Source organism: Homo sapiens, chromosome 12 (genome assembly GCF_000001405.40).
Source record: "Homo sapiens chromosome 12, GRCh38.p14 Primary Assembly".
Taxonomy (NCBI): domain Eukaryota; kingdom Metazoa; phylum Chordata; class Mammalia; order Primates; family Hominidae; genus Homo; species Homo sapiens.
Window position 1 is genome coordinate 124,586,255 of NC_000012.12, and position 14,657 is coordinate 124,600,911.

Consider the following 14,657-nt stretch of genomic DNA (forward strand, 5'->3'; position numbering starts at 1 on the left):
AGGAGTTTGAGACCAGCCTGGCCAACATGGCGAAACCTCGTCTCTACTAAAAACATAAAAATTAGCCAGGTGTGGTAGTGGGCACCTGTAGTCCCAGCTACTCAGAAGGCTGAGGCAGGGAGAATTGCTTGAACCTGGGAGGCGGCGGAGGTTGCAGTAAGCGGGGATCCCACCACTGCACTCCACCCTGGGTGACAGAGCAAGATCCAGTCTCAAAAAAAAAACAAATGAAGTCAGGCTAGTACTGACCCTTCAGGGTTAGTGACTAAAAAGGGGTCTGGGTTAGGGGATCTTAAGGGGACATCTGGGAATGTTGTGTTTCTTGAATTGAGTCCTGGTCACACAGGTGTGATCGTTTCATGAAAATCCTTTAAGCCATACACTTCAGCCATACTTTTCTGTATGCATACCATACTTTAATAAAAACTGTTTTAAAGTGAAGTGATTTTAAGAAAAATGCTAGCCAAGCAACAGACCCGGCAGTGCACAGGTGTGTGGACATGCGAAGGGGCTTCAGGAATGACTGGAATCGGGACGCTGCCTATCCCGTCATTCTTGTCATGCCTATTTTTGGTGGTTGGAATCGCATGAGCAGCAAACACCTGTTGTTGATTTTGCAGGAGAGGCATGGAGAGCAGGTGCAGCAGAGAGAGCACTGTTTGCTTAGAGATGATTTCATAGAGCGCTGGATGGAAAGAAATCTGTCCTCAGTTGCTGGGGTGGCCTCTTGACACCCCCGCTCTTCGCAACAGCCTGGAGAAGACCCCACCCCGTCTCAGCAAATATGAGGCGTGTCTATCCTGCCACTCTCCACCCCAGGAGCAGGCATTGGTAATCCATCCCATCACTCTTGTCCACTGATTCCAGATAAAGCCTTTAATTCTTTGCAACAGAGTGTCGAAGGCAATAGATGCCAAAGGTTGAAGCTATTACGGTTTTGTTTTGTTTTTTTCTGAGACAGGGTCTCACTCTGTTGTCCAGGCTGGAGTACAGTGGCACCATCTCAGCTCACTGCAACCTCTGCCTCCTGGGCTCAAGCAATTCTCCTGCCTCAGCCTCCCAAGTAACTGAGACTACGGGCATGTGCCACCACCGCTGGCTAATTTTTATGTTTTTAGTAGAGACAGGGTTTTGCTATGTTGCCCAGGCTGGTTTTGAACTCTTGGACTCAAGCAATCCTCCCTCCTCAGCCTCCCCAGGTGCTGGGATTACAGGTGTGAGCCGCCACACCCAGAAGCAGCTAGTAATTGATGACACTTGCTTTACATTCCAGACCTAGATGTCTTCCCCTGCCTTCATTGGGAGGGTGCTGAGCCACGGGTTCCACCTCTGCCAAAGGCACACCTAGGAGACTCCTCATGTCCAGCTGAGAAGAGGGGGACACCTCCTGTCTGAGACTGCAGCTCACACTGCTGCATGCTTCCTGGACACCATCTCTCTGACCTTGGTCGCATCTGCCTAGCCTGCAGCTACGTTCTCTGACCTCCAGCTCTTCCTCTTTCTCCCCTCGGTAATACCAAAGTCTCAAGAACACAGCCCTCACTTCTAGACAGAAAGGCCTCACCAGGACCCACCTGTGTGGCCCAGGTGTGACCTCATGTACAAACACATCTCCCAAAATCACCATCTCGTCATCATGGATCCTAGTACTATCCATGAGTTAACTCTCATTTCTGTGTTAATCGGGGGTGCAGCACATTTTGGTGCAGATTCATTGTGGCTTTGGGGTGCCATTTGGGACTCTCCCCCATGCACAATGTGTGCCTATCTCATCAAATTAAATTAGGCTTGTTTTGGCCTGGCCAGTGTCCATTCCTTCTTTTCCGGATAATAGCATCTCAGTTTTCCATGGGGAACATTTCCTCTCCCACACACTAAATGAAATCATATCTGACATGACTTGTATGGAGGATATGACCCAACCCAGCAGAAACATAGTGACTGGCTCAAGGGTGGCCATAAGATCCAGCTGGGCTGATCAGAGTTGGCCCGGACAACTGAGCTATCAGTCATGAGGTGACCCCTTTCTGCTGTTACCAAAGTGATAAGAGGTCATCTAAGAGCTGTTGGGACCATCTTTCCTCCATTTGAGGAAATCCAGCCCTAGAATGAAGCCAACACCAGGAAAAGCAGATCCAACGTACAACAGGATACAGGTTCCCAATGATGTCATTTAAGCGCCTGGATCCAGCCATGCCTGAAACCATAAACTGCCAGACATTTCTACTTAAGACTATTTGAATTGGATTCATTTCCCCTGCCACCAAAAGATGCTTGGTTAATACAAGTTATTAAGATAAGTCTGAGCAGCCTACAAATAGGCAAACAATTATTAGGGGAAATTACCTAAGACATGTGGGATAGGAGTAATATTGCTGGATAATGCAGATGCTAGCAACACAAGGCAAATAATTGAAGAATTGATCACAGTTCCCACTCTAAAGATACTGAAACCACAATCCTACTTCTCTTTCAGGAGGGCAGGGTCCTAAGTGGCCATCTGGTCTACCAGGGTGGTCTCCCCATGAAAACAGGAAATTGACATTAGTCGGCATGGGGTAGTTTAGTGAACCTGTGTTAGCTTCTCGTGATAAGCATATTTTCTTCTAAACAGCCACAAGCCATCTGTGTAATGCTCTGTTCCAGAATTCTGCGAAGATCTCTTGCTGTCAGACATACCCCATCTGGGGTTTCCAGGATCCATATCATTTTCCCTTTTGGAAAATTGGGGCCCTTGCCCATCTTCAGGCTTTACTTACTTTCCAGCAATTTCTCCTGGGTCCTCTTTCACTGTCTCCTGGCCAACCATGAATTCAATTCTCTCTTTAGAACGTCTCTTCCTCCCGTGGGATTGGAAAGAACATTTGTCCTCAGCGGCAAAGGCAGGGCTTCATCAAAGACGAGTGACTCAGTGCTTTTCCTGCTGTCTGGCCACATGATCCACATGCCCGCAAAGGGGACGTGTCTTGAACATGTCATGATTTCCCCTGAATTTCTTATGTTATTCTTTTAAAATTCACCTGGGGAACTTACTCCTTTTTTTTTTTTTTTTTTTGAGACAGTGGCTCTCTCAGTCACCCAGGCTGGTGTGCAGTGCAGTGGTGCCATCCTAGCTCACTGCAGCCTTGACCTTCTGGGTTTCGAGTGATCCTCCCACCTCAGCCTCCCAAATAACTGGGACCACAGCACCTGCTACCATACCTGGCTCATTTTAAATTTTTTTTTGTAGAGACAGGGTCTCACTATGATGCCCAGGCTGGTCTGCAATCCTTGGGCTCAAGTGAACCTCCCATCCTGGCCTCCCAAAGTGCTGGGATTACAACTGTGAGCCACTGCACCTGGCCCTTATTCCATTTTTAAGGTAATACATGCATATGATAAAATCAGCCCCAAGAGACCCAAACAATATACAATAAACAAAGTCTCCCTTCCTGATCTCCAGCTCCCAGTTCCCATCACCAAGGACAGCCATAGTCATCAATTTTTCCTTCCAGAGATATTTTGTGCATATAACGGGATACATGTATGTACATATATGTGTTTGTATGCATACATGTATGTACATATATGTGTTTGTATGCATACATGTACTGCCTTTTTGTGTGTACATGTGTGGTATAATACACATAACATAAAATTTATCATTAGTGACATCTAGTACATTCACAACCATTGCCATATCTAGTTTTAGAACTTTTTTTTTTGAGACAGTCTCGCTCTGTTGCCCGGGCTGGAGTGCAGTGGTGTGATCTTGGCTCACTGCAACCTCCACCTTCCGAGTTCAAGTGATTTTCGTGCCTCAGTCTCCCGAGCAGCTAGGACTACAGGCGAATGCCAGCGCACCAGGCTAATTTTTGTATTTTTTGTAGAGACGGGGTTTCACCATGTTGTCTAGCCTAGTCTCGATCTCCTGACCTCAAGCCATCCACCTGCCTCGGCCTCCCAAAGTGCTGGGATTACAGGCATAAGCCACTGCACCCCGGCCTAAAACATTTTCATTACTCAAGAAGGAAACCTGTACCCGTTACGCAGCATCTCCATGTCTCCCTCAGCCCCTCTCCAGCCCCCAGCAATCACCAGTCTACTTTCTGTCTCTATGGATTTGTCTATTCTGTACATTTTGTATAAATGGATTCATAGAATATTTGTTTTTCTATATGTGGCTTCCTTCGTTTAGCATAATATTTTCAAGGTTCATCTGTGTTGTAGCTTGCATCGGGGCTTCATTCCTTGTTATGGCTAAAAAATATCCCATCGTATGGATAGACCACACTTTGTTGACCCATTCATCTGTTGATGGACATTTGGGTTGTTCCCACCTTTTGGCTATTGTGAACAGTGTTGCTGTGAACATTTATGTGCAAGTATTTGTTTGAGTACCTGTGTTCAATTCTTCTGGGTATAGCCCTAGGAGCGGAATTGCTAGGTCGTGGGGTCATTCTGTGTTAACATTTTGAGGAGCCACCATGCTGTTTTCCACAGTGGCTGCACCATTTATATTCCTACCAGCAATGCACGAAGGTTGCAATTTCTCCGCATCCTCACCAACACTTGTTATTTTTTGTTTTTTCAAATTATTATTATAACCATCCTTCCTAATGGGTATGAAGTGGTATCTCATTGTAGTTCGATTTGCCTTTTCCTGACAACAAATGATATCTACCTTTTTTACACAAACGCAACCTACTATACACCCTATTTTACCTCTTGAATATTCACTAAGCAATCAGTATTGGAGCTCGTTCTACATCAGTTTATGTAGAATCCACATTTTTTTTTTGAGACCATTGTAGTCCCCTGGATGGATAGACCCTAACTCACCAGCCAGCCCCGGACTGATGGTGATGCAGCGTGCACCCGTCTTCTCGTCCCTCTCAATGCTGTAGTAACTATCTCTGTCTTTGTGCACATTCTGCTGATCTGCATTTCTTTCCAAAAGTCAAGGGCAGTCCCCTCTTTGATAATTTCCATCTGCCAGAGGCCTTCATCTCAGTCTCCGTGGTTGGCGATAAGAACACGGCCACCACCCCACACAACAAACATCCCTGACATTTCTTTATCTCTCTTCCTTTCCTTCCTTTCCTTCTCTTTCTTTCTTTCTCTCTCTCTTTCTTTCTTTCTTTCTTTCTTTCTTTCTTTCTTTCTTTCTTTCTTTCTCTTTCTTTCTTTCTCTCTCTCTCTCTTTCTGTCTTTCTCTCTTTCTTTTCTTGACTGAGTCTTGCTCTGTCGCCCAGGCTGGAGTACAGTGGGGTGATCTCACTCACTGCAGCCTCCACCTCCCAGGTTCAAGTGATTCTCCTGCCTCAGCCTCCTGAGTAGCTGGGATTACAGGCATCCACTGCCACACCCAGCTAATTTTTGTATTTTTAGTAGAGACGGTGCCCTGAAAAATCTCAGAGCAACTCAGCTGTGCCGCAGAGCAAGCCAGCACCAGCCCTGCCATACCCATGTTGGCCACGCTGGTCTCGAACTCCTGGCCTCAAGTGATCCACCGCCTCAGCCTCCCAAAGTGCTGGGATTACAGTATGAGCCACCGCACCCAGCCCATCCCTGACATTTCTGGGCCCTCACTCTCTTCCAGGCACTTAGGCTTCCTGCTTTATTCCATTCACTTCCCCAAATGATTCTTCGAGGTAACTTTTCTTCCCGTCTTTCAGGGAGCAGTCCCTTGGCCAAAGTTTCTCAGGGCTGGTGGGGGTGGCAGGATTCAGCCCTGGCTTCTGGCTTGGCCCGACTCCGAGGCCGTGTCCTCTGCCTCTGGACCCCGCTCTCTTGCTTGGGAATTTGGGGTGTCTGCATTCGGGTGACCCATCATTCCCACTTTGCCCAGGACTGAGGGTCTTCCCAGGATACAGAACCTCAATGCTAAATCCCGGGAAGTCCCAGGCAATCAGGATGAGTTGGTCACCATGGTCTGGAAGGCCTAGCTTTTGTGTTGGGGATGGCTCACCCTGAGTCATTTCTGCCATCCGGCCTTCCTCTGTTGGCAAAAGTCCCAGCCCAAGGACTTTGGTGGGACTTGAACTTCCCACCTTGGCCTCCTGTTCCCTCCCCACACTCTGACCTGCACAACCTCTGCCCCCAGTCTCCCCTCTCCTTCCACACGGCCCCAGCAGGGCACCAGAACCAGCAGCCCCCGCCAAAGGCCCTGCCGTCAGCAAAGAGAACTTGCATCCAGGCCAAACCACCAAAGCTACTGAGTCAAAAAAATGGAGAAAAACTCCACCTCCCATCTCCTCGGGCGCCTCAATTTTCTGCAGTTCCTCCTGCGTCTGTCACACATTTCGGGATGGAAGAAAGCACACAGCGGCCAGGAGTTCAAAGGTATCTGTCTGGGCATTTGTGCCAGGGCAAAGTGACCAGGCAACTCAGCTCTGCCGCAGAGCAAGCCGGCACCAGCCCTACCACACCCATAATAATTCACAGTTCCTCACTCAGACGCCACTTGGGGCTCCAACTTGGCCTCTCCTCACACCGCTGATCCTCCAGCGCCATAATTAGCTTCTTACCACCCACCTTGTGCTAACAACCTTCCCCTTTATTACTGCAAAAGACATTCAAGAAAACGCATAGACCACAGCCCGTCATCCATTTGTAACCTTGAGTATTTATTTTTTTTCAGGGAACCCAGCGAAGATGTAAGTCAAGAGAATTCTCACCCCCATCCCTCATCACTCTCACTCTTCCGAGACAAGTGTCACGATGTGGTGGCTGACAGAGCTTCCCTTTTTGAAGGGCACGGTCTCAGTTCTGCTGGCTCTCAGGCCGGAAGAAGCCGAGGGCGCTGAGTGGGCAGAAGGGGCCCCAGGAAGCCCCTCAGAGGATGGGAAGTGGCGGGGGACAGGGCCACAGGGCTTGCTGTGACCCGGTATGACCTCCTTTTCCTCTTGTCCTGACCAGGACAACCGTGTTCAGAGGTGGGTTCATCTGGCGTACCGGGCTTGCGGCAGATCCTGCTGTTTCTCCACCCACCCGCCTTTCCCTCTCCTTGTTTCCGAAGGAGAGCCTGCCTCTCGCCCCGAGGTTGAACATTCCAGCTCCTTGCTCTCCCCGGCAGGAAGCCCCAATTCTGCCCTGCAGTGGTTGCCTGGACACCCTCGTAACCCAGCTGAGCCTGCACCCCCGGGGCCTGGGCCACTCTGCTGCTCTGTCTTGCACCCTTGACTTCCTTTGAGGGTTGACTCTGGACCCTTAAGCCTCCTCCTTCCTTGCCTGGAGTTTACCCACCTAGGCCGGCCGCCTGGCAAGGACTGGCTGGTGCGGGGCCTGAAAGCCTGGCCCTCGCCTCAAGGTGGGACTGTCTGGGCTGTCACTGATGCCCCAGAGCTCCCGAGGGATCCTTTGCCTGGCTTCTTCCCGTCGTCCCCGTCCTGTTTCCCCACTCTCTTCCCGCCTGTCCCAGACTGCTACCTTCCTAATAAATGGCTTGTACAGAAATCCTTGCCTCAGGCTCTGCCTATGAGGAGCCTGACCACACGCATTCTCTGTGTGGAGAGACCCCCCAGGACCTCTTTTTGTTCCATGGGACCTAACAGGAGTCTGGGGAAGGTTTTTCTCTCCCTGATTGAAGAGTGAGGCATGCAGGGAAGGTTTTCCCACTTCTTTTTCCAGCCTCAAAAACAATCAGATGAAGCAGCTGGCCCCAGTGGCCATTTTGGATGAGGAGGGAACATGGCCAATGACACCAGAGGGAAGGGTCTTGGTCTTTGCTGACGGCATCAAGCAGCCAATCCTGCAGCTGCCTATGCACAGACCTTTGTCTGTGTGAGATGATGGTGATGATGATGACGATGATGATGATGACGATTGAGACAGGGTCTCACTCTGTTGCCCAGGCAGGAGGGTAGCAATGCAATCATAACTCACGGCAGCCTAAACCTCTTGGTCTCAAGTGATCCTCCTACCTCAGCCTCCTGAGAGCTGAGACCACAGGTGGCATGTGCCACCACACTGGGCTAATTTTGATAGAGATGGGGTCTTGCTATATTGCCCAGACTGGTCTCAAATGTGGGCTCAAGTGATGCTCCCACCTTGGCCTCCCAAAGTGCTGGGGTTACAGGCACGAGCCATATGCCTGGCCCTTTGTAAGATTACAATGAATCCTTCTTTGGAACCTTCTGATCAGAAAGTTGTGTCTTACTGTGGAACCTCCCTTCCCTGCAAGGCATGGTGGCGTTTGACCAGCCTCTCAGGCCTGGCCCCTTCCTCCTGGCCGAATTTGATTTGGAGCAGATGTTCACCCTCATTCTGGCCAACGACATGTGAAAGACATCTCCTGAGGCCTCCTGGCGAAAACGTCTTTGTTCTGTACAGATCCAACCCTGGGTGTGTGACGGCCGCCTCCCCAAGGAGAATGCCACCACTCAGCCTTTGCACAGATGGAGGCAGAGCCCGGCCACCATGTCCGGGACCCGCTGGGCCCGGGCTTCTTGTCGTGTGTGCCAATGATCTGCCTATCAACAAAGCCTATTCGATTCGGGTTTTCCATGACTCCCAACCAAGGCATTTTAGCTGATAAGTGAGGGAGGTGCTGGGTGCCCCTCTGGACCCTTGGGGGAAACACAAAGATGAATGGGAATTTTTCACCTCTTTAGAGCTTGCTATGTGGCAGCCGCTATCGAGCACTTCATATTCATTGCTGTTCATCTTTACAACAGCCCTGTAAGGTTGGATGAAATGACCCCCTTAATAGCTGTGGAGACGAAGGCCCAGAGAGGGTAAGTCACTTGCCCAGGGTCACACAGCTTGTGAGTGGCTGACCCCAGATGCCAGATTCTCAACTGCAAGCCCTGCCTCTGGGGAGCTTCTGGCCTTGCATAAGAGACAAGCGCACAGAGTAGGATGGAGGGCTCGGAGGAGGGGCTGGGAAGGAGGCAGGGAGATGGTATGGGACGAGCTCCAGGCCCAGAGTCAGAAGGGCTTGCATTGCTCACTGTGTGACCTTGAGCAAGTGGCTTTGCCTCTCTGTGAGACAGCTTCCTCTTGAGTGAAATAGACCAGTGGTACCTACTGAGCAGGTATGTCAAACAAGAAGCCACAGCTGGAGGTGCTCTGCAAGCTGTCAAGGGCTGTGCACAGGTCAGCAGCACCCATCATCGCAGGCCTCCATTGGGAGGCTGAGGTGGGAGGATTGCTTGAGCCTGGGTAACATAGCGAGACCCCCATCTCTATAAACAATTTTAAAACTTTGCTGGGTATGGTGGTGCACACCTGTAATCCCAGCTACTCAGGAGGGTAAGGTGGGAGGAAAGAAGAAAGGGAGAGAGGGAGGGAGGGAGGGCTGGCCATGGCTTCCACTCCTCCATGACCCCGGGAGAGAAGCCCTCGGGTCTGACATGGCTCCTCTTGGTCTTGTCAGCTTTCACAAGGGCTGAGCAACTCCTGCTGGATGGTTTTGCTTATTACTATCATATTTTAAGCATCCCCCAAGGAACCAAGGATTGCATCCTGATCACTTCATGCACCTGCCTCCAAGGTTTACCAAAGGTCTACTCTGCCAGAACAGCCTTGGATACATGTTTAAAGCAACCACACATTACTGATGGCCCCCGCCTCTAATGCACCCCTTCCCTCCACAGACGTGACCACCATCCTGAGATTCCAGTGTAAATTTCCTTCCAGTGGGTGAGGTTTTGCTCCATTTGAATGCATCCATTCACAATCTATAGCATCATTTCACATGTTTTAAAACCTGACCTAAATGGTATACTATTGCATGAATTATTTTGTAATTGGAATTTTCTGTCTGTTACTTTTCTGTTGTTTTTGCAGCACGTCACATTGATAAGCATGGATCAAGTTCATTCATCTCCACTGCTGCATTATATTCCATTAGCTGAGCAAGCCACAGTTCATTTATTCACCCACCTATTGATGGGCATGTGGATCGTGCTCAATTTTTCCCAATCACGAGCAAGGCTGCAATGAAAACTCTTATGCACGCCTCTTTAGGCACTTGCTGGAGAATTCTCTTGAACTCAATGTTCCTTTTCCTAACAAATGTTTGAAATATCTCCTCTACTATCCTGAAATGTGATTCGTGACTGATAGGAGTTACTTATACATTGTACTGCCAAAAAATACACACCACACACACACACACTCACACACCCAAACACACACACTATGATCATCTGTAATGTTAAAGAAAGTCATTTGTAACAAAATAATATAATAATATGTATTGGCTGGGCACATGATGCAGCCAGCCAGGATGCTGGCTGCATCCTCCCAGCACTTTGGGAGGCCCAGGAGGGAGGATCACTTGAGACCAGGAGTTGGAGACCAGCCTGGCCAGTATAGTGAGACTCATCTTTACAAAAAAATTTAAAAATTAGCTGGGTGGGGTCGTGCACACTTGCAGTCCCAGCTACTTGGGAGGCTGAGGTGGGTGGATTACTTGAGCATGGGAGGTCAAGGCTGTAGTAAGCCATGATCACGCCACTATACTCCAGCCTGGGTGACAGAGCAAGAACCTGTCTCAAAATTATAATATATATTTCTGTAAGTATATGCTCAAATGCAACTATTCTGGATAACGAGTAGTCATCAGATGTTTGCACCTCTGAATAGAATTACCATGAGTGGCACAGGTAATGTGCAGACTGGCACAGGTGAGTGTTGTTGGCGGTTCATTGGTGATATGATTTGCCCAAATGGTGCCCAGCTCTTGGCATAGCTCTGAGCAAAACTGAGTACATTCCTCCCTCAATTTACACATTCATTCTATTCCTGGAAAACCCAGCGCTCAACAAATACCTTGTCAAAAAATATTTTCAGTTTATTTATGCAACTGAGTTAGGTTGTAGATCTGGCTTACTACAGTGTCTTCACCAAAAAATGATGAGTGGAGATTTGAAAAATGGCATAAGGGATAAGACCATGTTTTATTTTAAGGGAAGTTTAGCAGCCCTAGCCTTCAGCCACTATAAGCCCTCAGTGCCTCTGGTGATTGCAAAAACTAAAAGCATCCCACACATTCACAAAATGCCCCCGCTGAGGGCAAAGTTCAGTGCAGCATGCAATTGCTGGACTGTGGTCCCCATGTTCCTCACATATCCTAAGTCCAGGCTCACGAGGCAGAGTTGAGGAGCTGCTTCTGGGGGCTACAAACTCAGGGTCCAGGAGAGTTTCCTAGAGCCCAGTGGAGAGCACAGTGTTGGTGCCAATGGCCAGAAAGAGCCTATGCTTTGCCCTCCTCTGGAGAAACTACTAACCTGTGCCAACCCCAGCCAGACCCTCAGGGCCTGGGAGCTGGACCGCACTTTATAGGATGGGGCCATATTCAAGGAGCTTTGGATGGAGGGCTGTTTTGTGAAGCAGAAATGAGTAGTACACAGGCATTTTTCGGAGTCTTTTTTTAAAATTGGGTTTTGATTTGCATTTCCCTAATGATTGAGCTTTTTTTCATACACTTGTTGGCTGCATGTGTATCTTTTTTTTTGAGAAGGGTCTGTTCATGTCCTTTGCCCATTTTTTAGTGGGGTTGTTTGGTTTTTTGCTTGCTGATTTGTTTAAGCCCCTTAAACAAATTTATAGATTCTGGATATTAGATCTTTGTCAGATGCATACTTTGTGAATATTTTCTCTCATTCTGTAGGTTGTCTGCTTACTCTGTTGATGGTTTCTTTTGCTGTGCAGAAACTCTTTAGTTTAATTAGGTCCTACTTGCCAATTATTGTTTGTGTTGCGATTTGAGTCTTCATCAAAGACTTTTGAGGCCAGGTGCGGTGGCCCACACCTGTAATCCCAGCACTTTGGGAGGCCGAGGCCAGCAGATCACTTGGGGCCAGGAGTTTGAGACCAGCCTGGCCAACATGGCGAAACCCAGTCTCTACTGAAAATACAAAAATTAGCTGGGTGTGGTGGTGCATGCCTGTAATCCCAGCTACTTGGGAGGCTGAGGCATGAGAATCACTTGAATCCAGGAGGTGGAGTTTGCAGCGAGCTGAGATTGCACCACTGCACTCTAGCCTGTGTGACAGAGCAAGGCTCTGTCTCAAAAAAAAAAAAAAAAAAAAAGACTTTTGAAGTCTTTGTCATGAAGTCTTTGCCAAGGCCGATGTCCACAGTGGTATTTCCTGGGTTTCCTTCCTTCTAGGGTTTTTATAGGTTTAGGTTTTGCAGAATGGCTATTATTAAAAAGTAAAAAAATAACAGATGTTGGCAAGGATACAGAGAAAAGGGAACACTTATACACTGCTGGTGGGAATGTAAATTATTTCAGCTACTGTGGAAAGCAGTGTGATTTCTCAAAGAATTTAAAATAGAACTACCATTCAACCCAGCAATCCCATTACTGGGTATATACCCAAAGGAATATAAATTGTTCTACTGTACAGACACGTGCCTGTGTATGCTCGTCACAGCACCATTCACAATCACAGACATGGAATCAACCTACATGCCCATCAGTGGTAGACTGGGTAAAGAAAATGTGGCACATATACACCATGGAATACCACGCAGCCATAAAAAAGAACAAAATCATGTCCTTTGCAGCAACATGGATGGAGCTGGAGGCCATTATGCTAAGCGAATTAATGTAGGAACAGAAAACCAAATACTGCATGTTCTCACCTGTAAGTAGGGACTAACATTGAGTACATACACATGGATACAAAGACAGGAACAACTGACACCGTGGCCTACTTGAGGATGTAGGGCAGGAGGAGGGTGAGGATCAAAAAACTACCTATCGGGTTCTGGGCTTATTACCTGGGTCACAAAATTATCTGTACACCAAACCCTGAGACACACAATTTACCCATGTAACAAACCTGCACATGTACCCCTTGAACCTAAAATAAAAGTTGGAAAGAAAAAGAAAAATCGTCTAGCCTGTATAAAGAAAAACACACGAGTCCCTAGTATATGTGTGGCTTGATGAATTGTTAGAGTTGTGTAATCCCCACCGTAGTCATGATGTGAGCCATTTCTAGCACCCCAGGAGGCTCCCTCCTGCCCCGTGTGGTCTACCCTGCCCTTGCCACAACTCCCAGTGACTGATTTCTCATCTGATTTCTCTCTTGATAGCTTAGATTTGTTTGTCTTAGAACGTCACAGAATTGGAACCACCATTGGACTGTTAGGTAGTATGCATTGCTTTAGATCTGGCTTATTTCACCCAGCATGATGTTTTTGAGATGCATCAAAAACATAATGAATCACTAGTTCATCACAATAAACTACTGATATGTGTTGCACATATCAGTAGTTCATTACTTCTGATTGCTGAGCAGTATTCTGTGGTATTTGCCACAGTGTGGTTATTCATTCACCATTGATGGGAATGTGGGCTGTTTCCAGTTTGGGCACTCATGAGTAACGCTGCTATGAACTTTTGCATCTAAGTCTCTGTGTGAGGATATGTTTCCCTTTCTCTTGGATATAGACCTGGGAGGTGAATAGCCGGGTCACGTTATAAGTGTTTGTTTAACATTATAAGAAACTACCAAACAGCTTTCTAGGCTGGCTTTGTCATTTTGCATCCCACCAGCAGTGTGTGGGATTTGCAGTTGCCCTTCATCCTCACCAGTGCTTAGTATTACCAGCCTTTCTAACGCCAGCCTCTCTCATTGGTGTGTTGTGCCTTCTCGCTGTGCTTTTATTTTCCTTGAGGGATAATGAGATTGACATGCCTGGATTTTAGGGGTGACAAGCTCCCTGCCTCATCAGGCTTCTCAGCTGAATCTCTTTAATGCAAGCCTCAGAGGGAGACTTCAGCCCACCCTGGGCTTGGGATGACAAAGCCTTCCTGCTCAGCAAGCCCCCTGAGGCCAGAGGGGAGTCCCTCCTGGCAGCTGGGGCCTGGGCCAGTATACCCCCGACAGCGGTAAGATGGAGGAGGCCAGAGGCTGGGGTCTTGCACTGACCCAGGAACCCCATCCCCTGCAGTGGAGAGGTGTCATAGTAAGTAGCTTGTGCTTGGGGACCAGCCCTAGGATGGAGTACCCACTGCCATTCCCAAGCATGGGACTTTGGGCAAAGAACTTTCTCTCTGACCTCAGTTTCCTCATCTGTAGACTAGGGATAATAATAGAACCCATCTCACTGGGACGTGGTGCAAAGCATCTACCCTGCTGTGTGGTGCTGAGAGAGTGCTCAAGACATGGAAGCCACATGAATTCCACTCCCTCAACAGATAGCAGCATACCTCTCTGAATATACGGTGAGCTCTCTGAACCCCTGAAAGTTTCCCTCAGAAAAACAGGAGTAACCTGATATTTCAGTCCTTACGAAGCTTCTTTTCTCTTGATTCTTTCTCATTAACTTATTTATTATTATTATTATTATTATTTTGGGGGTTGGGGGACAGGGTCTCACTTTTTTGCCCAGGCTGGAGTGCAGTGGCACGAGCCTGGCTAAGTGCAGCCTTATCCACCTGGGCTCAAGCAGTCCTCTCCCTCAGCCTCCTGAGTGGTTGGGACTCCAAGTGCATGCCACAACCCCTGGCTAATTTTTGTATTTTTTGTAGAGACAGGGTTTCACCATGTTGTCCAGGCTGGTCTCAAACACCTGACCTCAAGACATCCGCCCACCTCAGCCTCCCAAAGTGCTGGGATTACAGGTGTGAGCCACCACACCTGGGCCCTATTTTTATTTAAAAAAAACATCAAAGCCTGGTTTAGAACAACTTAAACAAGCATCGAATCCCT

At 48.1% G+C, this 14,657-nt stretch overlaps 1 annotated feature.

The window, feature by feature from the left end:
* Positions 7,091 to 7,594: an enhancer, noted in NCBI's record as "H3K4me1 hESC enhancer chr12:125077891-125078394 (GRCh37/hg19 assembly coordinates)". NCBI's record gives its function as "activates a minimal SCP1, AML or CMV promoter by ChIP-STARR-seq in primed H9 embryonic stem cells {active_cell/tissue: H9 hESC(primed)}" and the evidence as "EXISTENCE:reporter gene assay evidence [ECO:0000049][PMID:30033119]".